We start from the raw sequence: 21014 nt of genomic DNA on the forward strand, positions 1-21014 counted from the left end.
TATTTCAAGACCACAATTAGCACACCATTATTGTGTGGAAAAGAAAGAGAAAGAAGTTAAAATGAAAAACTATTAGGTTTTCTTTCCACTAGCCACTCATACTAAAGGTTAGTGAGGGAAGAATATGAAATTACTTTCAAGAATAAAATTAGAATTGTCTTTGAGTTTACTTTAAATATTGAAATGTAGTTATAATCCTTTATCTTTCCTGCAGGAAGGTGTCAGGCAGGAACAAGGGTCAATAAAGTACTATTTGTTAAATAGTACTTAGAGAAACATGAAGTTGTCAAAGTTGTTTGAACCAGAGTGACTCTGTCTTGGACAGGGGCTGGGTAAAATGGGGCTGAGACCTACTGGGCTGCATTCCCAGGAGGTTAGGCATTCTTAGTCACAGGATGATAGGAGGTCAGCAAAAGACACAGGGTCACAAAGACCTTGGTGATAAAACAGGAAGTGGTAAAGAAGCTGGCCCAAACCCACCAAAACCAAGATGGCGATGGAAGTGACCTCTGGTCATCCTCACTACTCATTATACACTAATTATAATGCATTAGCATGTTAAAAGACACTCCCACCAGCACCATGACAGTTTACAGATGCCAGATGCCATGGTGATGTCCGGAAGTCACCCTATATAGTCTGAAAAGGGGAGGAACCCTCAGTTCCAGGAACTGCCCATCCCTTTCCTGGAAAACTCACGAATAATCCACTCCTTGTTTAGCATATAATCCAGAAGTAACTATAGGTTACTCAACTGAGCAGCCCATGCTGCTGTTCTGCCTATGGAGTAGCCATTCTTTATTCCTTTACTTTCTTAATAAACTTGCTTTCCTTTTACTCTATGGATTGACCTCGAATTCTTTCTTGTGCAAGATCCAAGAACCCCCTCTTGGGGTCTGGGTCAGGACCTCTTTCCAGTAACGAAGTAACCATCTGCTATCCAGAAATGTCCTGCTGACCCATTAGTCACCCACTGTCCACCTAAGGGAGTGGCCAAGATTGAGTGGTCTCTAACTTCCTCCATGGCAGGAAGGAGGACAGAGGGTTTGATGGGTACCTCCTCATGATGAAAAGAGGGTTCTGAGGACAGTTTCCTTAGCCAGTGTTGGGGGAGAAAGAAATAGGGGTCACATATGTCTCAGGAGTAGCACCAGCTACTCTGTGGCCAAGTTATCTCAGGATAAAGAGCTTGTGCTCTGTCAACTTTGGCCATCTTATTGCTATTAAACTGGATCATGGAGGAATTCATTGCATCTGTTTTGCAGGTAAGTTCCATCAGTGGTTTGGAACTTTTGCTGGCAGATCTAGAGTGGTGGAAAATTTTCCCCCTCACAAATTCCGTGAGAAGAAGGGGAAGAAAAGGAATGAGCAGGGTAGCTGTGTGGGGCATTGGGCAGCCTTAGGAGTGAAGTGGTGGGAGCTTCCCCTGATAACGGAAATGAGTGACTGAGGAAAATGTCCCAGTCAGTCGAGGTTTATTAAGTCAGCTTTAGGGCATGTCCCTGAAAAGCAATGAGCCACAGACACATCTGTGGCTGTTTTTACAAAGAGGCTTTCAGGAGGTTGGTATTTATACATTTCCTTAAAGTAGGGAGGCAGGTAGGGAGAGGGGCAGGTAGGCCGTAGAGGAATGTTTCCATCCTTGTGAGACTTTAACTAGTGCCCAGTTAAATTTACATTTTACATATGATAAGGTGAATGTTTAAAGAGAAAATGGGAGTAAAGAAAAGAATCAATTATGCAGGCCTCTCTGAGTAGGTGGAGGAATGACTGATCTTGTCTTTATTCTGTACATTGGGAAATAAGCTTGCAATCAACATTATCAGTGTGGAATCAGCAGACTTTAGTTTTAGAAGCTAAGCTTAGATTGTAGACCTAAAATTCTTGTCTACAGGAGGCCAGCAAAGAATTTACTTATGAATGACCTGCAGGGGTGGTCCTTTGTAGATAACTGAGGCATGATGTATAATGCTTGTAACAGCTATTCATCTGGAAGAGGGTGTTGCATGACTCAACCTCCAGGCTTAGTCTTCCCTTTTGCATAAGGATTCTGGGGGTCCTGAGATTTTTAAATTTCCTTTCCCTTTACACCCTCATGTACATCTGAGAGTGAAATCTCTTCTTCTTCTCTTCCCCTAAATTGAGTGCTATATGCCCATGGGAAAAAGCATCACATATTCAATTAAAAGCAGCTCAGAATGGGTGTCAAAGGAGCCTGAAATGGGTGCATTGAGGTGTTCCAGTTAACCAGAGAAGGCTCAGTGCTGGTGTGTTCCTGCTGGCAGTAGCAGAAGGGAAGTGCTATGTGACGCTCCTGAAATCTAATTGCTCCAGGTGCATCAACACAGGTGCTCCATTATGCTGATGCATTTTCTTAATGTGGGTCTTTATTTCCTCTGGGTTTTGAAATTGCCTTTTGCAAAATTTTAACCCCCTTCTTTGAAGTAAGAAGTAAAAGGGCTTGTGTTTTACCACCTCTGGGCATGGAGGAGTTAACTCTTTGACAGAGACCTCAGGAAGGGTGGAAATCAGCAGAGAGAGAGTTAGGGGCCTGCTGCTGGGAAACTTTCTTCCTTCTCATTCTTCTCTTCAACATTCTGCCTCTATGGCAGGAGTCCCATACTTGAGTATTAGTAGTGATGATAATATTATGAATACTGAACTAGTATTATTGATTAGTATTACTAATACTAATAATATTACTAATTACTAGGCACATCCAGGAAGAACGCAAGCCACAGACACATCATTACTACTATGAGTAGTAATTAGTAGTTACTAATAGGCATGACACCTGTTTTGAATGAAGTAGAAGAGAAGTGAAGGTCTCTAGAAAAATAAGTTTTCACTTAAAGACATCTGTGAAGATTTCTTACCGAAAACCATCAGCGGGAGCTCAAGCCAGATGTTAGTGAGCCGGTAGACCAGGAATGGCGTGATGATGCCACCAATGTCACACATTGAGGAACAGATGTGGACGCCAAGATTCCTAGAATGCAGGAAACTGATTTAACTTGTTAACTTATCACAGTGCAGTAGTTATCTCCCATCCACCCCTGAATAAACACTTCCTCAAATAATTAAAATGTTCAAGAGCTATAGTGTACACTGCTCAGGTGACGGGTGCACCAAAATCTCAGAAATCACCACTGAAGAACTTATTCATACAACCATATACCACCTGTTTCCCAGAAACCTATTGAAATAAAAAAAAAACACCAAAAATAAAATGTTCAAGAGTTTAAAAAAACATTCACGTTATTTTCAATGCACAATATTTTATATATATATATATATACATAATTCCATTCATATTCTGTCATTCTTGTTTTGTATAAACCTTAAATTTTTTTTTAATGATGGGAGGAGCAATTGTTTCTTTTTACTTCCATCACCTGGCTTCCCTAAGCTGTTTCTATGGACCTGTTTGTGCTGTTCCACAACAATCTCCCCTGTAGCCATTGGGTAATCCCTGTCTTGCAATTCAATTTTCTGTTCTCACCATGGCCTCTGTATTTTACCCCAGCCTGTAAGTGTGAGAGGTGAACTGCTGGGCCTGGCTGGACCTTTACGTGTTCTCACCTTCCCTTACACTGTGTTTTGAAGGTAAGATATCCTTTGTCTGCACTTGTGGTGGTTCCAGCCAATGAACAAATGTCTCACCCACCCTCGTCATTCTAAGGAAAATGCACTCACCTAATGAATGTGGGGTACAGCTCAGCATTGACCAGGCAGACTATCTCATAGGCCATTGTGATCCCCATTCTTCCCAAGCATGAGATAATAATTTTTAGCCATTGTAGATCTAAGAGGGAAAAGAACAGTACTTATCCGTACACAGATGATTCCTCATCTTCAGACAGTGCTCCAGAGTGGGACTGTAAGGACAAATTCCCCATCCCAGAATGGGACAAGAAAGAAAAATGACTTCTTCTATAGGCTCATGTTAATGTCAGCAGATTCTCACGTTTGTTCATCTTAACCTCAGACACAATGCTAATTCTCTCTTTTTTAAAAAAGATATTTTTTTTAGAGCAGTTTTAAGTTCACAGCAAAATGGAGAGGAAGGTACAGAGATTTCCCACATAACCTCTGCCCCCACACATGCATTCCACCCCCCACTGCCCATCATCGACATTCTCCACAGAGTGGTATGTTTGTTACTTGATGAACCTTCAGTGGCAACGATAATCACCCCAAATCTATAGCTGGCATTAGGGTTCACTCTTGGTGGTACACCTCCTGTGGGTTTGGACAAATGCATAATGACCTGTATCCACTATTTTAGTATCATATGGAATAATTTCACTGCCCTAAAAATCCTCTGTGTTCTCTTAACTTTAGACCTCAGTTGTTAATGACAACGGAGTTATACCAGTTTCCAAAGCTGGGCCAACTTTAGTCTATAGAAGTCAAAGAAAGAGCAAAATATGGGCACATTTAAACAACTGCTAATAACAAAAGGATTCAAACGAAGCTCCATATTGCTAAAAGGATTCTCTTATCCAGGTATTTGTTCCCCTTCGTTGAGGAAGCATTTTAAAAGGGAAAAAGGGAACTGAATAGTTATTTATGGATGGCATTTACTTACATTTTTCTCATTTATTCTGCAGGTTGATGCAGGGAGGTCAAGAGAGTCCCCAGTTAACACCCAGGAAGGGCTGGAGTAAGACCTTGACCTGGGCCTGCTTTACCCAAGGCCCATGCTCTCTGCTCCAGGTCATCTTGATGGCCTGTAGCATGGGGCTGTAAAGTCTCTCTTGTTACATCACATCAAGGAAAAATTGGGTACAATTTTTCCTAAAGGGAGGCTGGCCATATGAATTTGCTCAGAAGGGTCCCAGATACTGCCCTCCAATTTGTCTTTCCAAATTGATTTGGATGACAAATTACATGGTTTTCCTATCAATGGGCCGTGACACTCCCTTTCTCCAGGGTCTTGGAGATAAGACTCCAACTTCACCTGAAACTTACCACCAGGTATAAAAACTGAGGCCAGACAGGCTGCCCCTGCAACCATATTTGATGCAGCCCAAGGGTAACGGCGTCCGATGCGGTCGATGGTGAGGATGATCATGAAGGCAGCTGGGAATTCAACCAGGGCAGAGTAGAAGAAATCCAGGTAGATATTGTCACCTGCAAGGCCCATGTGCATGATGAGGCCCTGGTAGAGCACAGAGCTCGTGAACCTGAGCAAAGAGGAGAGTTCAGGTCAAGTCAAGCACCAAACACAGGGCACCAAAAAAGAGAGGCTTCTGGAAAAATAATGTGGATTGTAGGTCACCTTTCCCTGTGACCATCTCCTTGCTAGTCCCCCATCCCACTGCTTTTATAATCTCTGATCTACTTCAGTGGCTGGCTGTGGCTGGGTAGTTTCCAAAAACCAGGAGAAGGGAAGAAATTGGAATAGTTAGAACTAATTAGAAATTACGATAATGTTTCCTGGACAAATTGAAAGCCAAGAAGAATGTCTTAATGGAATGATTTATTTTATTTATTTATTTTTTGAGACAGAGTCACTCTGTTGCCCAGGCTGGAATGCAGTGGTGCAATCTTGGCTCACTGCAAACTCTACCTTTCAGTTTCAAGTTATTCCCCTGCCTCAGCCTCCCTAGTAGTTGGGATTACAGACGTGTACCACCTGCTAATTTTTGTGCTTTTAGTAGACATGGGGTTTTGCCATGTTAACCAGGCTGGTCTTGAACTCCTGGCTTCATGTGATCTGCCTGCCTCAGCCTCCCGAAATGCTGGGATTCCAGGTGTGAGCCACTGTGCCTGGCCAATGGAATGATTTATTTAGTAAAACTATATCAAGTTATTAGTGGTTGTGAGTTATTTCTCTCTTTGGGGTATTCTAGTGCAATTGGGATCGAAAGAACTGACTACTTAATTCAAATTTTAGGAAACCAGAAGACCAAGTGAGTACGGCCTCCCTTCTTGGTGACTTCTCTCCTGGCCTGTTACGAACAACATTTGGACAATGTTTCTAGTTTATTAACTAAACATAGTCATTACATGTAATGGAAAATATGAGGATAATCAACAAAAGTCACGATTACTCAGAAAAGGAAAGAAGGATAATGAGGCCAAATTTCAAAGCTGCCTCTCCTGTGCACTATTGTAAAGGTTGCTAAAGTAATTCCTCATGAGCTTTGCTTTTGTCAGTGATTGTAAATCTCCATTTGCCTGGGTGGAGATCCAATGTGCCCTGAAAAGATGCATTCCCCACTAGAGAAAGCATGGCTTGAAGCTCTGAGAGCAGCCTGTAGGTAGCAAACACAATAAAGATCAAGTCACTGGGCTGTGAAGCCACTGGAATTATTCTTGTTCAGAAATTTATTTTTTCTCCAGGTAGAAAAGAAAAAAAGGAAAGAAAAGGCAATCCCCCCACAACCCTGTTTTTTGTTTGTTTGTTTTTTGCCAGTTCTGTACTACAATAGAGATCTACATGCATCATCAATTAAGTTATACCAATAGTTCTCTAGTTGGGCTATGCATTTGAATCACCTGGAGAATTAAAAAACTATTGGTTTCCAAGCCCTACCCTAGAACAATTAAATCAGTATTTCTGGGGGTTTTGGCTTTGGTATTTTGTAAGCTCCCAGGTGATTCCAATGTGAAGCCGAGGTTGCCATTGCCTTGATCTGTGCTTAGGGGCTACACCGATCTTAATATTTGCCCAAGAAAAACACGATCAGGAAAACCTACCAGACACAACCCACATTGCTGCCCACCGTCAGCGCTAATACCGGGATGAGGTCATGTTTTCTTCCCTTCCTTACTATGGATGACTGTGATTAAAACAATTTGGAGGCATTTCAAAGTGAAAAATATTCCTTACCAGTTGTACATCAATATCATAGTATGTTTCCTTATCTGAGGAGTTCTGACCAAGTCAAGAAATGAAGGGTTCAATTTCTTGCCAGTTTCCTCTTCAAGTCTCAGGCGCTAAGAAAAGGAATAGAAAGGACGGCTTTGTATATTTAATGCTAGTGTCCCTGGGTCACATAGGGAATAACAATAATTTCTTACCGTCCTGAGCGCCCATCTCATGCCCAGCACTAGAGCAAGCACTTTCCATACTGTGTCCCATTTCATTTTTTTTTTTTTTTTTTTTTTGAGACTGAATCTTGCTCTGTCACCCAGGCTTGAGTGCAGTGGTGCAATCTCGGCTCACTGCAACCTCCACCTCCTGGGTTCAAGCAATCCTCTGCCTCAGCCTCCTGAGTAGCTGGGATTACAGGCATGCACCACAATGCCCAGCTTTTTTTTTTTTTTTTTTTTCCCCGAGACAGGGTCTTGCTCTATTGCCCAGGCTGGAGTGCAGTGGCACGATCTTGGCTCACTGAAACATCTGCCTCCCGGGCTCAAGGAATTCTTCTGCCTCAGCCTCCTGAGTAGCTGGGATTACAGGCATCCGCCACCATGCCCAGCTAATTTTTGTATTTTTAACAGAGATGGGGTTTCACCATGTTGGCCAGGCTGGTCTCAAACTCCTGACCTAGTGATCTGCCCGCCTCGGCTTCCCAAAGTGCTGGGATTACAGGCATGAGCCACTGCGCCCGACCAATTTTTGTATTTTTAGTAGAGGTGGGGTTTTGCCACGTTGGCCAGGCTGGTCTCGAGCTCCCAACCTCAGATGATCTACCTGCCTCTACCTCCCAAAGTGATGGCATTACAGGTGTGAGCCACTGCACCTGGCCTATTTTCGAATAAGCTTAATCTTCTCTTTTCTACCCGCTGTGGAATGAAAATGTTTGAGGTCAACGTGGTGAGATCTACTAAAGGCAAACAATAAACACAGGTAACGAACACCTCTGTAACTGGATTCTATTTAAGAAGGCAGGGGATTGCTTAAAAGCTTTTCAGCCTGGTGCGGTGGCTCATGCCTGTAATCCCAGCACTTTGGGAAGCCGAGGCTGGTGGATCACCTGAGGTCAGGAGTTCGAGATCAGCCTAGCCAACATGGCGAAACTCTGTCTCTACTAAAAACACAAAAATTAGCTTGGCGTGGTGGTGCTCGTCTGTAATTCTGGCTACTAGGGAGGCTGAAGCAGGAGAATCGCTTGAACCTGGGAAGTGGAGATTGCAGTGAGCCGAGATTGTGCCACTGCACTCCAACCTGGGTGACAGAGTAAGACTCCATCTCAAAAAAAAAAGCTTTTTGGACAATTTCTATCCAAAGTGTTTACAATTCTAAGAAATCATGTGTGTTTAAAGAACTGCTTTACTGATCTAAGAATCTGACCTGAGGATGGTGAATATGCAGATGATGGGGGTGCTGGGCACCTGGGCATAGGAGACTGGTGAAGGCTTAAGTTGCACAAGACAGAAGCTCCTCACGTGACCTTTAAATGATTTCTGGTTCTCTTTTAGTTTGATGGTTTCCACCTGTTTGAAATATTCTCCCACGGAACCACAAATCTTAGCATATAAAATTCTCTGTTGCATTCCGCTACAGGTAAGCCAAAATGCAAGGGGGTGGGTGCTTCCATGGTTCCCTGCTGAGATCACTGGCATGCATGAATCTTACCAGAGCCTCCCTTTTCTCCATCCCCTGATTTGATACTTAAGGCCCTGGCTCACCTGAAGGGAGGCGGGTAGAGATTTTCCATTTTTCTTTGCGATGTGCTTAATGATTCTCATGGCTTCAGCATTCTTATTCTGGGAGATCAGCCACCTGGGAGACTCAGGTATGCACCTAGGGTACAAGGTGAGCGGAGGGCAACTCTTACTGAATCCTCCTTACCCCATCCCCCATTTTTTTATAATCAGATTTCTCTGAGGATGTTAATACAGTTGGATCTCCAAAGAAAATAACACTCGTGTAGGGGGATATGTGGTTCTTTCCTCCCTCAAATGCTAAATCCCTCCTCAGGGATTTCTAAGCAGAAACACAGGAAGCAAGCTGCAAAGCAGGGTGCGGCTGAACATCCAGCTCCTCTTGCAAGGAGGAGAGGCAGGTCCCTCAGGGTGGCCCTGGGCTTTGCAAAGGCCTGAGAACTGGCAGAGGGGTCAAGGACTGGATGCTGGAGTATGCAAACCATTGTGGGGGTGGGGAGCAAGTATGTATATGTGTTATGCTCAATTTCCCAAAGGAATGAGATAAGAATTTGAGGTCAGAGGGTGAGGTAACTGAAAAGCGAGACTTCATAGTTTGAGTTTGATGTAGCAGGGCTCGGGGAGCCCTTGCAAGTTTTTGAGCAAGACTAGAACTATTGACTCTGTGTCTGGAGGGAACTCTGAGCAGCTGGGTTCAGGGTGAATGAGTTCAGGGTGGAGGTTCAGCGGGAGGAGAAACTGGAGAAAGGAGATAATAGGGCTGCTGCTGTGGCAGTTATGGTGTAAATGTAGGAAGGCCCCAGTTGGGATCATCACTCTGGGAGCGAAGTTGCTCTGAGAGGCAGGGCTTAAAAGGAACTTGGAATGGATGTTTTTGTGGAAGTGTAATAGAGACAGCAGGAAGGGTCACTCTCAGGGTATAATGGACTGAATGTTTCTGTCCCCGCTGAAGCGCATGCACTGATGCCCTCACCCCCAGTGTGCAATTTGGAGTTGGGGCCTGTGGCAGGTAATTAAGTTTAGCTGAGGTCTGGAGAGTGGGGCCCCCAGATATCCTTACAAGAAGAGGAAGAGAGACTAGAGTGTTATTTTTTCTTCACCATGTGAGGGCCCACAAGTGGGATGTCTGCAAGTCAGGAAGTGGGCTCCCATCAGGAACAAATCTGCCAGCACCTGGATCTTAGACTTCCCAGCCTCCAGAACTATGGGAAATATGTTTTTAAGTACCCGGTCCATGGCATTTTGTCACTGCAGTCTGAGCTGGTAAAACACAGAGTTTTATTGGCTTTTGGATAAGAAACAGGCTTCTGGGAAAGAGTTGAGATGTTTAATTCTTAGGCAAGACAGCCATGGGAAGAACAAGTGGGTAAATCCAGGAGAAACTAAATAAATGGGTTGTAGCATGGGAGAGAGATTTGGTCTGATAATCCAGTATCCCCTTTGCTTTATTTCAGATAATCTCACATTAGGGGTTTCTAAGAGTTTCTGGTATTTCCCATGTGTTTCCCTTAGGCAGGGATGACTAATATATTTTACTTGCCTTGGTAACTCTGATTGATTGGTATGGTCTGTCTGGAGTGTCATGTTGGCCTTATCTGTGATGAAGAATACTGTGATTCACTGGGGATGTCTGCCTTGGGCATGAGTATTGGGAAATGGTGACACAAGTGCCATGCTCTGCTTTCTCCACCCTAAAGTTTCCTCTGAGTGGGGAGAGAATAGTAATAGTGATATTTTCAGTCTCTTCAAAGGGTCTACCGTCCAAATTGTACCACAGCTCCTAGAAGCTAATTTAAACACCAAATAAATAATGTGGAAATGTAAGATCCAAGTCATAAAAACTTTAAGCCCAAAGAGAAAGGACATTTGATTTACAGACGGAGAGGTGAAGCTTGTGGTTTTTATTCCTGAAACATGGAATTGGGCTCTTTGTGAAATGGGTCTGGAGAGTGAAAGCAATCTCAGAATCAGAAAGATAGTGTGCATTAAGGAAGGCAGACTTCTTAGCAGAATAAAATACTTTGATTTATTTCCTTTTTATTCCAAATGGACTTACCAGTAATAGAGCAAGAAGAAGAAGTTGGGCAGAGAAACTGTGAACTGCAACCACCTCCAGTGAGGAAGTGCGTAAGCCACCCCAGCTAGCACCAGGAGCCCAACTGTATAGGCAACTTGGTAAAAAATCCCCACTGTTCTCCGATATCTCCGCCCAACAAATTCTGTAACTGCAGAGAGAATTTGAATGGTTAATGCAATTCAATACAATAATGAGTTGGCTGTCCAGCTATCAGGAAACTAGAACACCAACCTCAAAAATATAGACAAATTCTAGAATATTCTACGCAACTCTCTGAATATTTTTAAGTGTTTTTTGGTTTTTATTTTGTTATAACTATTGCTGTTTTACTAATTAATAAATCTTATAGTCCCATTGTAGATGGGATGAAAGGCCTGCCAACATAAGCAAACACATTTGATTTATAATTTTCATGATGCAATTGTATTTCAGATACATGCAAGATTTTGACCTAGAGTAGTAACTCAAGACCTGAACAAATGAATCAAACATTAAATTTAGACCGTAGATGATTTTTATGTAAATGAACACCTGAGTATAACTTGTTCTCTTACATGGGTTTAACATTTATCTTGCAAGTCCTATTTGTTTATTTGTATAAATGGCTTGGTAACTTAGCAGAGGGCTGGAATCAGCTAGTGCTGGCTGGCAGGAACTGGTTTTACATGCTGGGGAATTTTACAAGCTGGTGGTTCAACCCGTTGGTATCAGCCATAGTGAGAATATTGCTATAAAGATGCTATGATGTTAGAAGTCAAATATTCTCTTATAGTATATGGAACTTAACTGTAACTCTGGCTACTAAGGAATAGGATGTAAGTTATATTCCTCGTCCTAAAAATGGCTGGCTGAGTAACCTAGGTTGACTACAGTACTTGTGTTTTCAGTTTCCTTATGTGTAAGTTGAGGATAATTGTAGTTCACTAGAATAGATTTTTGCAAAGTATTAAAGTCCTTTATAAATCTACTATATCTCTCATCACTGATTCTTCTTTATGAATAGGTCTGGTAGGATGAATTTTCTTTCCACACAATACTCCAGGGTACAGAAAACAAAAATTCCAAAAAAGTTACATAAGAATCTGGGTGGCATTATGTTTACCCTTGTTTCTGCCTTCATTTTTTTAGTTTATAAGGAGGAATGCTGAATGAGTTGATATGCTTTTAGGAATTCTTTTGATACAGAAATAAAAAAATCTCTCAATATTGTCTTGAAGCTGGGTCCCTTTTCTTGCATGCCGCCCCCCACCTGACTCTATTTTGGCAGCGAGGTTGCTTTGTTCTCACAGTTGCAAGCACAAACATTCTTACTCAGGATGTAGCCTATTAACCAGCCTGCTTTGCTGACCAGTCCTTGGATTAAGCGAAAAATTAACATCCACGTATAGGTTGGGGAAATGGCCATGAGAACTCCAGCTGCAGCATTTATGAGGACTGTAGTTAGGAGGCAGAGCTTACGGCCAAACCTGCAGGAAGAAAAACAAAGAGAGGGAATTGAATTAATTTTGATTTGTGAAGATTGTGGAAAATGCATGGAAGTTATGGAAATCTAAACAAAGTTAGAGGTTAACTTTAAATTTTATGAATCCAGGAGGCACAGACTGATAGCCACAAAGGGAATCTGTGACTCCAGGTCCAGGTAGCACTTTTCATCAGCACACTATGTGTAAGTTTTCAGCATGATAAGCCCCATTCACCCCAGGGTTCAAGTACTTTCTCAGTCCCACACTGTGGCAGGTATTCAGGGAAAGAGTAATTCATCCAGGCCATCCTGTGCTGAATACCCTATGGTCCTAACTAGGTCTTACATCACCATGTGAGCTGCGGCCTTTGCACTAACAATTTCAACCAATTATCCACCCAAGAATGTTTTCACTTTTTCACTTTGAAAACAAAATTCAGTGTTCAGTATATACCCCCTTTCTTTTTCAACAGTGCTTTTAGGCTTTGTGAAAATTGTCTTTGGTGCCACACATGTTACTATCCTATGGGGGCCTCTGTTTGGAGCACCCTGGGAAGACAGCTTCCACACATCAGATTTGGGAGACTTAGGTTTATTCAGTTTAGGGATTTGGAAAGTTGTCCCAGTATATGGAATAGAGGAAAACAATTGGCAACCTGGGTTTCATCATGACCTTCCTACTTACTATGATGTTGGGCAACCTATTCAACCATATTCAGTGTCTTCATCTGGAAAAGACCCATCTGACCCAGCTGAAAAGAGGATTAAGTGAGATATTAGAGGTAAGGAGCTTGGCACATAGCCTGCCTCCGACCCCTTCCTTCCTTTTTTCCTTCTGTTTGCAAACCTGGCTCAGCTCAGAGAGTTGACCTGGGGCCCAATACTGTTATTTTCGCCATGTCCTGGTTTGCTTGTAAAAGACACCCTAATCCACTTAGTGGATATTTAAAAAAATTCTTCACAGAAAACAATGTTTATTTAATCTTTGTCTTTCCACTTCAATTGGAAGGATGGCTTTTTGTTATCAGGATTGCTCCTTTTAATGGTGGATAAACATTGTTTAATTGATGCTTTTATTATTATGCAACTATATTCTAGTGAAGGTGTCAAATACTAACCATTTCAAAATAATCCACATTATTAATAATTATTTTGGAAGAGTAATATTTTAAATATGAAATTTTAAGGTTAAGCAGTTACATTGGTAATTAGTATTAACTAGTAAATTTCTTAAGTCTTAAAACTCTGTTTTGACCATGTAATTTCATTTTTAAAAATTTTTATTTTTAGTTCTGGGGTACATGTGCAGGATGTGCAGGTTTGTCACATAGGGAAATGTGTGCCATTGTGGTTTGCTGTACCTATCAACCCATCACCTAGGTAACGATGTAATTTCTTAATTCTCAGTCAATGGCTCCCTGCTGTAAATATACAACCTCTTGGCCTCTAATTCAAAGCCTTCCAAAGTCATATCTCAACTTAATTTTTTAGCATTTCTTCCCACATTTTCCTACCCAAACCCCTTCCTTTACCCTCAAAGAGTATATAATCTATAAACATTGACTCAAATGGTACTTCTTCAACTTTCAAAACTGCTTCAGGCACACAGTAGAACACCACAGTAGTGCCCCATGTAGATGGACAAAATCTTTTAGGTGATGAGAGGGAATATTCATCATCTGAAACTCAGAGCAAGAAAATCAAATCCATGATGTGGAAAAACTTCACTGGAGACATGTTCCACATAGGGAAGCAATGCTACTTAAAAGAATAATAAGGCATGGCTAGAATAAATTTGGGGAATCTGGGATAGAGGTCTGAGACTCCTCCTACCCCTCAGCAGGGCTATTTAAATGGTTAAATGGAAAACAATCAGAAGAAACAGGACAGGAAGGGTGGACTCCCCATACTGCTGGCTTGGTAAGTCTTTTAGCTACTTGTGACTCAGAATGTGGCTGAGGACTATTAGCATGGGCTTGGGAACAGCATCACCTGGGAGCTGGTTAGAAATACAGAATTTTGGGCCCACCCAGATCTGCTGGATCAGAATCTGAATTTTAGCAAGATCCCCAGGAGATTTATATGCAACTTAGCATTTGGGAAGCAGTGCTTTAATTTCACAGAGCCTCGGTTTCTTCATCCATTGTAAATTATGGATAATGAAATCTACTTTAAAAGGCTCTCGTGATCCTAAATGAAATATAACAAATGAGGATGCCCAGTAAAGTGACTAGCACACAGTAATCAGTGGTGAACGTGTTTTGGAAGATCCCATATAGTTGGGTAAGTATGACTGCAACCCACTGGGACTTTAGTTCTGCTTTTGATGCAGGACAGGCAAGCACCAAAATTGGGGCTTAGCCTGGGAGGGTTCTTGGCTTTGCCCAGGAAAGAATTCAAGGGCAAGCTGGTGTTGTTAAATAGCCATTTTTATTGAAGCTGCAATGTATAGCAGCAGCACCTCTGTTCCTTGTGGAGCAGGGATATTCCATAGGCAGTGTGCCTGGAATAGCAGCTCAGAGGAGTCTGTTCTGTACTCATATTTATTTTTAATTATATGCAAATTAATTTAAATTATAAATTTGATTATATGCAACCCACGTTTAATTATATGCAAATTAAGGGGTGGCTTATGCAGAAATTTCTAGGAAAAGGGTGGTAACTTCTGGGTTGTAGAGTCATTGCCATTAAAAGGGGCTGGAGATTGCCATGTTGCCATGGCAATAGTAAACCGACATGGTGCACTGGTGGTCATGTCTTATGGAAAGCTGCTCCTGCCTGGGACCTGTTTTAGCTAGTCCTCAGTTTGGTCTGGTGTCCAAGCCCCGCCTCCAGAGTCAAGTCCCTCCTCCTAGCTCACTTTGATCTAGTTCCATCACAACACATAAAAGTAGGGTGCTGGCTCTTAAGAGCTAATGATCAGACTTACAGAAAATTTGCAAGCTAATTGTTAGCATAACCATTATTAAAAATTAAATTATATACATTTACAACTAAATTATATTGAAAGCAAGTGTAATATGCAAAACATCACTTTCCAATGATTTTACTATATTTGGCCATCTGTGCTTGTGAGGTTATTTACATCTACTGTATCTGCATGGTGGAAATGCTGTGTAATGGTGCACACTTCTAGCCAACTCTATGTCCTGTGATGTCATTTTTGTAGGCTGAAGTGAACCACAGTGGGTATATTTACACCAGAGCAATCAATAAACACTACAAACTGGGGCTTTCCCTCCCAGAGAACTAGTTGTTAAGCATTCACAAGCATGACACAGTAAATATAGCACTTATGGCCACATGCAGTGGCTCATGCCTATAATCCCAGCACTTTGGGAGGTCAAGGAGGGCAGATCACCTAAGGTCAGTAGTTCGAGATCAACCTGGCCAACATGGTGAAACCCTGTCTCTACTAAAAATACAAAAATTAGCTGGGCATGGTGGTAGGCGCCTGTAATCCCAGCTACTCAGGAGGCTGAGGCAGGAGAATTGCTTGAACCCAGGAGGCAGAGGCTGCAGTGAGCCAAGATTGCACCACTGCACTCTAGCCTGGGCGATAGAGTGAGACTCTGTCTCAAAAAATAAAAAAAATAAAAAATATAGTACTTATAATTGCTGCTTGTTAAAATTAAAAAAACCCTGGGATTGGTGAGGAATTGCTTTTTTGTCTCAGGTGACACTCAAAATCATTGATGAGGAAGTTATGGGTTATACTTGGGTCCACTCTTAGTCTTATTTACAATCTTTTCATAATGCCTTACTGTTTTTTTAAAAAATTATTCATGGAAGACAATGTGTTTTATTTAAAGTTGGCTTAATCTGTGAATACAATGGGGATCCATGACATTCTTGTCCTATTGTATAAAATCTGGAAATTGTAGGCATTAACTATACAAAAAACAAATTGCTTTCTCATTTCTTTAGGCTAGGCTTCTCACTCCTGCATGCAGGCACAGAACAGAAGAAGGGCAATGACCGGCCAAGCTTCAGATGGTGTAAGAAAAAGAAGTCGAGGCATGGAGACAGCCTTTGGGGGAAGAATAATGAGTACTTACCTTGACAGAGGGGATTTCAACAATAGGAACAAAATAATGAGATCATCTAAGAAGGTGGATAATTGACCAGGGCTTATAACACAGGAATGCACTGTCAGTAGGGATTTATGACCAATCTCCTACTTGTTGAGTGGGATGTGAATAATTAACTAATTTCTTAACCCACTGAGCAAGGGTTAAAGATTGAGTCACCTGTTTACTCACAGCCTGTCAGGGAGTGAGTGTTAGCACCTCTACCTGGTGGCGGAGGAGGGAGTGCAGAGAGAGTGAATGCCTGCAGGGCCAGAGCTGCCCAGGGGTGCAAGGTGGACTCCGGACCTCCCCTTGTTAATGTGTCTCTCCTGATTTAATGCGTCATCTTTAAAGAATCATCCTCAATTCTGCAGCAATAAAAATAAAAACCTTCCCTTTCACCTTGCAAGCCTCCCGCAGAAAGCCCCAGGAAGAGCCTTGTCAGGGCAGCTGAGGAGACAATTAATAACCATGGGTGATGGATGAGGTGCACGTGGCCTGTGCCTCCACTTTTATCCCTCTTCCCTTCTGCTGCCAGTTGGGCCCCAGGCCCCTGTGAAGTGCATATGCCTTGGGGGTGTGATATATTAAGCCATCATTATTCATCCTTAACACATTTGCAAGTTTTAATTCAGCCTAAAATAATATAATCAGAGAAAATGTTCTACTTGCATTTAACATTATACTCACAGGTTTGGATTATATCATAGATGTAGTTGGGGATGGCATGGGAGGGCAACAAGCATAAAATGCATTGACTTTACCATGTATTTCAGTTATATATTTATATTTTACATGTAAATTCATAATTATATATTTATATCTAGATAAAATTATATGTTTGTGTATTATATATAATAATCTATAGTTATGTATCACTATCTCACTAGGTGATTGCTGATTAAGGGGAATACTATTACCCACAATGTTGAACACAGTGCCTGGCCATGGAAAACACTCAATAAACGGTGTTATGAATATTAAATAATTAGCCCTGACGGCCAAGTTATCTAAAGTGCCTATCAACTATGAAGCAAATTTTTGGTTCCTTTTCCTTTTGAGGACTTCTAAAAATGTCTCATTGGTCATCAAGAGAGCAAAGCTGCATGTTGTAGGAAACTTGCAGCACAGTGAGTGTGGGATTCCAAAATGCTGGATAAGTAAGAGACATAGCAATAGCTTGATCCATACAAACACTGACTACTAGCTTGCTGAAGACAAGACTCATCAGAGAGGCCTCTCGTCATCTCTCCAGGGACAATGATATTGCAGAGGTGGACATTTACCCCTCGTGTTGTAGGCAGACCCTGTTTCCCTTTCTTTAAGTTATGGCTTCCACATATATGGTCATATATGGCCCCAGGAACCCAATTCAGGACTCTTGCAATCCCACGGGTATTAGGGAGATTCTACATTGGGCCTGGTGCTGGGGGCTCCCAGCATATGCGAGACAAGCAGAGGATAGGATTGAGCTCAGAGGCCCTGAAGGCTGATGGCCAGGTGGATGGTGATGAGGCCAAAAAATGAATTGGGAATTACAAAAGGGATGAGATCATCTGTTACTCTCCCTTCCGACTTGAAGCTTCTGCATAGCCCCCATGGAAGATTTGCTGTGTAATGTTGAAATATCTGTCTATGACCCCAGAGAATTTGAAAATAAAGACATTGGTCATGGTTATCCAAGCAGCAGAAGAAATTTAAGATTGTAAAAACACCAGCATGAAGGCCAGGAGATTGTGGTCTGTGTGCTTGGGAAAGGATGGGATTCAAGCAGGGGCAGGTGCATCCAAGTGTTCTCCAAACCTTTGGGATTGTTTAAATTCCACCACAGGTGATTCAACCTACCTGTCTGCTATGTAGCCGATACTCATAGAGCCAATAAAGAATCCTACATTCACTGATGACTGGAATAGGTCCAACATCCAGGAGTTGGCACATACCAGGTTAAACTGCCAGCAGGGGAGAAGTGTTCCAAGTTGGGAGAGAAAGGAAATGAAATCCTGTTAGAATCCTGTTGGACATAACTCAGCTAGGGTACTCATTAAATATTCCTTGAATTGAACTGTATAGTTAAGTGGCAATAAGCCATTGTTTCTTGATCATGCCAATTTTCTTCTTCTTCTCTCTCTCTCTCTTTTTTTTTTTTTTTTGTGAGACAGGGTCTTGCTCTGTCACCCAGGCTGGAGTACAGTGGTGATCATGGCTCACTGCAGCCTCGACCTCCTGGGCTCATGTGATCCTCACACCTCAGCCTCCCAAAATGCTGGCATTATAGGCGTGAGCCACTGTGCCCAGCCTCAGTTTTCTTTACATAACCAAAAGGCTTGCCCTTCCATCTGGCAATTTGTCATGAAGCTAAAACTACAGCATTGGCTAAATCAGCTGAAACTGGGTAATTACTTATAGACAAATTTATTTTTTCCTTTCTAATTTCAATGCACATGCAGATAGGTGTGTGGACGTGATACAATGCAGGCACCAGGAGGTTGGGCCATTTAGCATCTCCCTGCTGTCTGTTTAATAAAAGGGGATTAGGAGTGACTGCTGAAGGCTGCTGCATTTGCTCTTATTTGGAATAAGAGGAGGTGGTCGGGTGGAGCAGGTGCTGGACCAGGTCAGGAGACCCATCTTTTAGGGCTAACCCTGCTAAGTTATTCACTGTGTGGCCTGGGGAAAAACCTTCTCTGCTTGGGGCCTCAGTTTCCTCATCTCTGTAGGAAGCAATGAGATTGGCCATGTGAGAGAGCCTCGGAGAGTTTGTGGTGTGAAGCCCATGAGCTGCCACATTTCCTGTAAATATCTGACCACTTTAGACCCTTCAAATTAGACTCTACCTACCCATCTGTTCACACAGAATATCTTCCCATTGTCCAAGCAGTCATTTTAAATTAAACTAGGCAACTGGCTCTCTCAGTATTTTCAGGTAACTTAATTCCCCTATTTTGCTTTGCTTTCAATAAAAGCAAGCTCCATTTTTTGTCTTTTTTTCTATTATATTTATTGGAATCAGGCTTCACAAATAGCTTTTGATGTCATCTGTAGTTTTTAACAAAATAATAGTGCCATAGCATGATCTCCAGCCCCAAATGATTTTATATGAACACTTTGAGGAAATTAAAGAGAAAAAATAGGTATCGAGAGAAAAGCACATCCTATCACACAGTCAGGCACAGTTCAGTTGAGTTCCACGGGCTTTCAGGTGTGTGTGGGCATCTGCGGGATGGAGGAATAGAGGGGGAGGTAAGGCTTCCAGAAAAAGAGGAGGATCCACAATATCCCTATCTTGGCAACATTTCCAGGAGTCCTAATATGCTTTGGCCTGTTCCTTATTGCTGGGACATGCACAAACTAGAATCATTATTGTCAGCATCTGAGGACGTTTTAACTAATCCAGTTATTCTCCAGACAAATTAGAAGCTGCATGTTCTCATTTGGAAACTAGGATTTTGTAAGATACATGCAGGCCAAAGAGATGTCCAGGCAGGGTTTATAAGAGCCGGGCCTTCCCTGCTTGCTTCCTTGAGAAAATCTCCACCATTTGCTTCTCCATCTGAGCCCTGAGCTCACTCTCTTACCTCGGTGACGATGGACGAGCCAGGCGTCTCGTACACCCAGCCGTCCCGGCAGGGGCCCAGTGGCAGGCGGCTCCTGTTGGTGTCCAGGCTGGCCAGGGGGTCCACGCAGTCGAAGGTGCTCTGGTTCCAGTCCACCTCGTAGCGCCTACACTGTCTTGGGGAGGCTTCGCCCGCAGGTCCTGGGCCCGGCACCGTGTAGTTCAGTTCCTCTGCAGGACTCCAGCCGCAGCGCAGACTCAGCTCGGCCACTCCGGGGCTCCGGCAGCGGTGGTCAGGGGTGAAGCCCAGGAAGACGATGCCCACGTAGATGGGCGCGAAGGTAGCCGAGAGCAGAGCCAAGAGGAAAAACATTTGCTTCTGGAAAAAGTGAAACTCCCCTCCATGCTCCAGGACATCGTCCACGGTGGTGGGCATGATCCTGCAGGCAGGAGGGCCCGAGGCTGCCCGACGTGCCCGGAGCGAGGCTGAGAGCGGCTGCAGCCAGCTCAGCACAAACCCTGGCCAGAAGTCAAAGAGGGGAGTTTACCTCTGCAAGTGACCAGCCTTCAGGGCAGGGCCTTTCCTTGGTCCAGCTGACTTCAAAGGTGCACCCCTCCAGCGGGGGTGCATGTCCTTCTGCACTTCCCAAATGCCCTGAGCTCACTCCCAGGATGCCTGTCGTGTTTATTATAACTGGTTCTCCACAGGCTTGTCGGTGCTCCACGCCAGCAGCACAAACAACCCGCCCTCTGTGTCCCACCGCAGGGAATCTGAGTGCTGGCCCATATCACAGCCCAGTAATCTTCCCGTAGTGCCCCGAGCAGCCAGGAACTTAATATACTCCTATCTCATGCGCACCGCCAGCTTTTCTTCAAGGCCCTATGGAGAAAACACACGTGTTTGGCCACAAGGCCCAGCGTGATGTGAACCAGGATCCGTGTCAGAACCCTGGTCCAGATTCGAAGTGGGTTGCAAGCCTGACTGCTGGGCTCATTCTCCAACCAACAACAAGAGCCGTCGGGATGCATGCTGGGGCTGCTTGTTTTGATGTTGTCCAGATTTTATAACTCTGCTTTTAAAAAGTGTTTGCTCCAATCTGGTATTCCTGCGTTTCAACCCTGAAGTGTCCTTCCCCTTAACCCATCTGGAGGGAAAGAGGAAAGTGTTTACGTCGCAGACAGGTCAAGTGTAAATGCAGGCAGGTGTGTCCAAGCCACTATCTTTGTGTCCTAGATTTTTCTGTCAAGGTCTGTTGGGGCTCAGAAATCCATGCCCCAAGGTGGAGGCCT

The 21014-nt window shown here is 43.1% G+C and overlaps 1 protein-coding gene across 1 annotated transcript in view, besides 2 other annotated features; it reads right to left on the reverse strand.

Moving 5' to 3' along the window:
* The window catches only part of SLC22A2 (solute carrier family 22 member 2), a 42067-nt gene extending 21843 nt beyond the window's left edge, over positions 1–20224 (reverse strand). Inside the window, exons 1-9 of the mRNA NM_003058.4 lie at positions 19747–20224; positions 18017–18120; positions 11951–12105; positions 10619–10787; positions 8587–8701; positions 6842–6948; positions 4975–5189; positions 3697–3805; positions 2877–2989 (exon numbers count right to left, since the gene is read on the reverse strand). Coding sequence (NP_003049.2) covers positions 2877–2989; positions 3697–3805; positions 4975–5189; positions 6842–6948; positions 8587–8701; positions 10619–10787; positions 11951–12105; positions 18017–18120; positions 19747–20160 — 1501 coding nt within the window. The 5' untranslated portion in view covers positions 20161–20224. The remainder of the gene's footprint in view (positions 1–2876; positions 2990–3696; positions 3806–4974; positions 5190–6841; positions 6949–8586; positions 8702–10618; positions 10788–11950; positions 12106–18016; positions 18121–19746) is intronic.
* Positions 639–1534: an enhancer, noted in NCBI's record as "H3K27ac-H3K4me1 hESC enhancer chr6:160660268-160661163 (GRCh37/hg19 assembly coordinates)". NCBI's record gives its function as "activates a minimal SCP1, AML or CMV promoter by ChIP-STARR-seq in naive and primed H9 embryonic stem cells {active_cell/tissue: H9 hESC(naive and primed)}" and the evidence as "EXISTENCE:reporter gene assay evidence [ECO:0000049][PMID:30033119]".
* Positions 1535–2429: an enhancer, noted in NCBI's record as "NANOG-H3K27ac-H3K4me1 hESC enhancer chr6:160661164-160662058 (GRCh37/hg19 assembly coordinates)". NCBI's record gives its function as "activates a minimal SCP1, AML or CMV promoter by ChIP-STARR-seq in naive and primed H9 embryonic stem cells {active_cell/tissue: H9 hESC(naive and primed)}" and the evidence as "EXISTENCE:reporter gene assay evidence [ECO:0000049][PMID:30033119]".
* Positions 20225–21014: the final 790 nt, after the last annotated feature.

This window comes from Homo sapiens, chromosome 6, assembly GCF_000001405.40.
Source record: "Homo sapiens chromosome 6, GRCh38.p14 Primary Assembly".
Taxonomy (NCBI): Eukaryota; Metazoa; Chordata; class Mammalia; order Primates; family Hominidae; genus Homo; species Homo sapiens.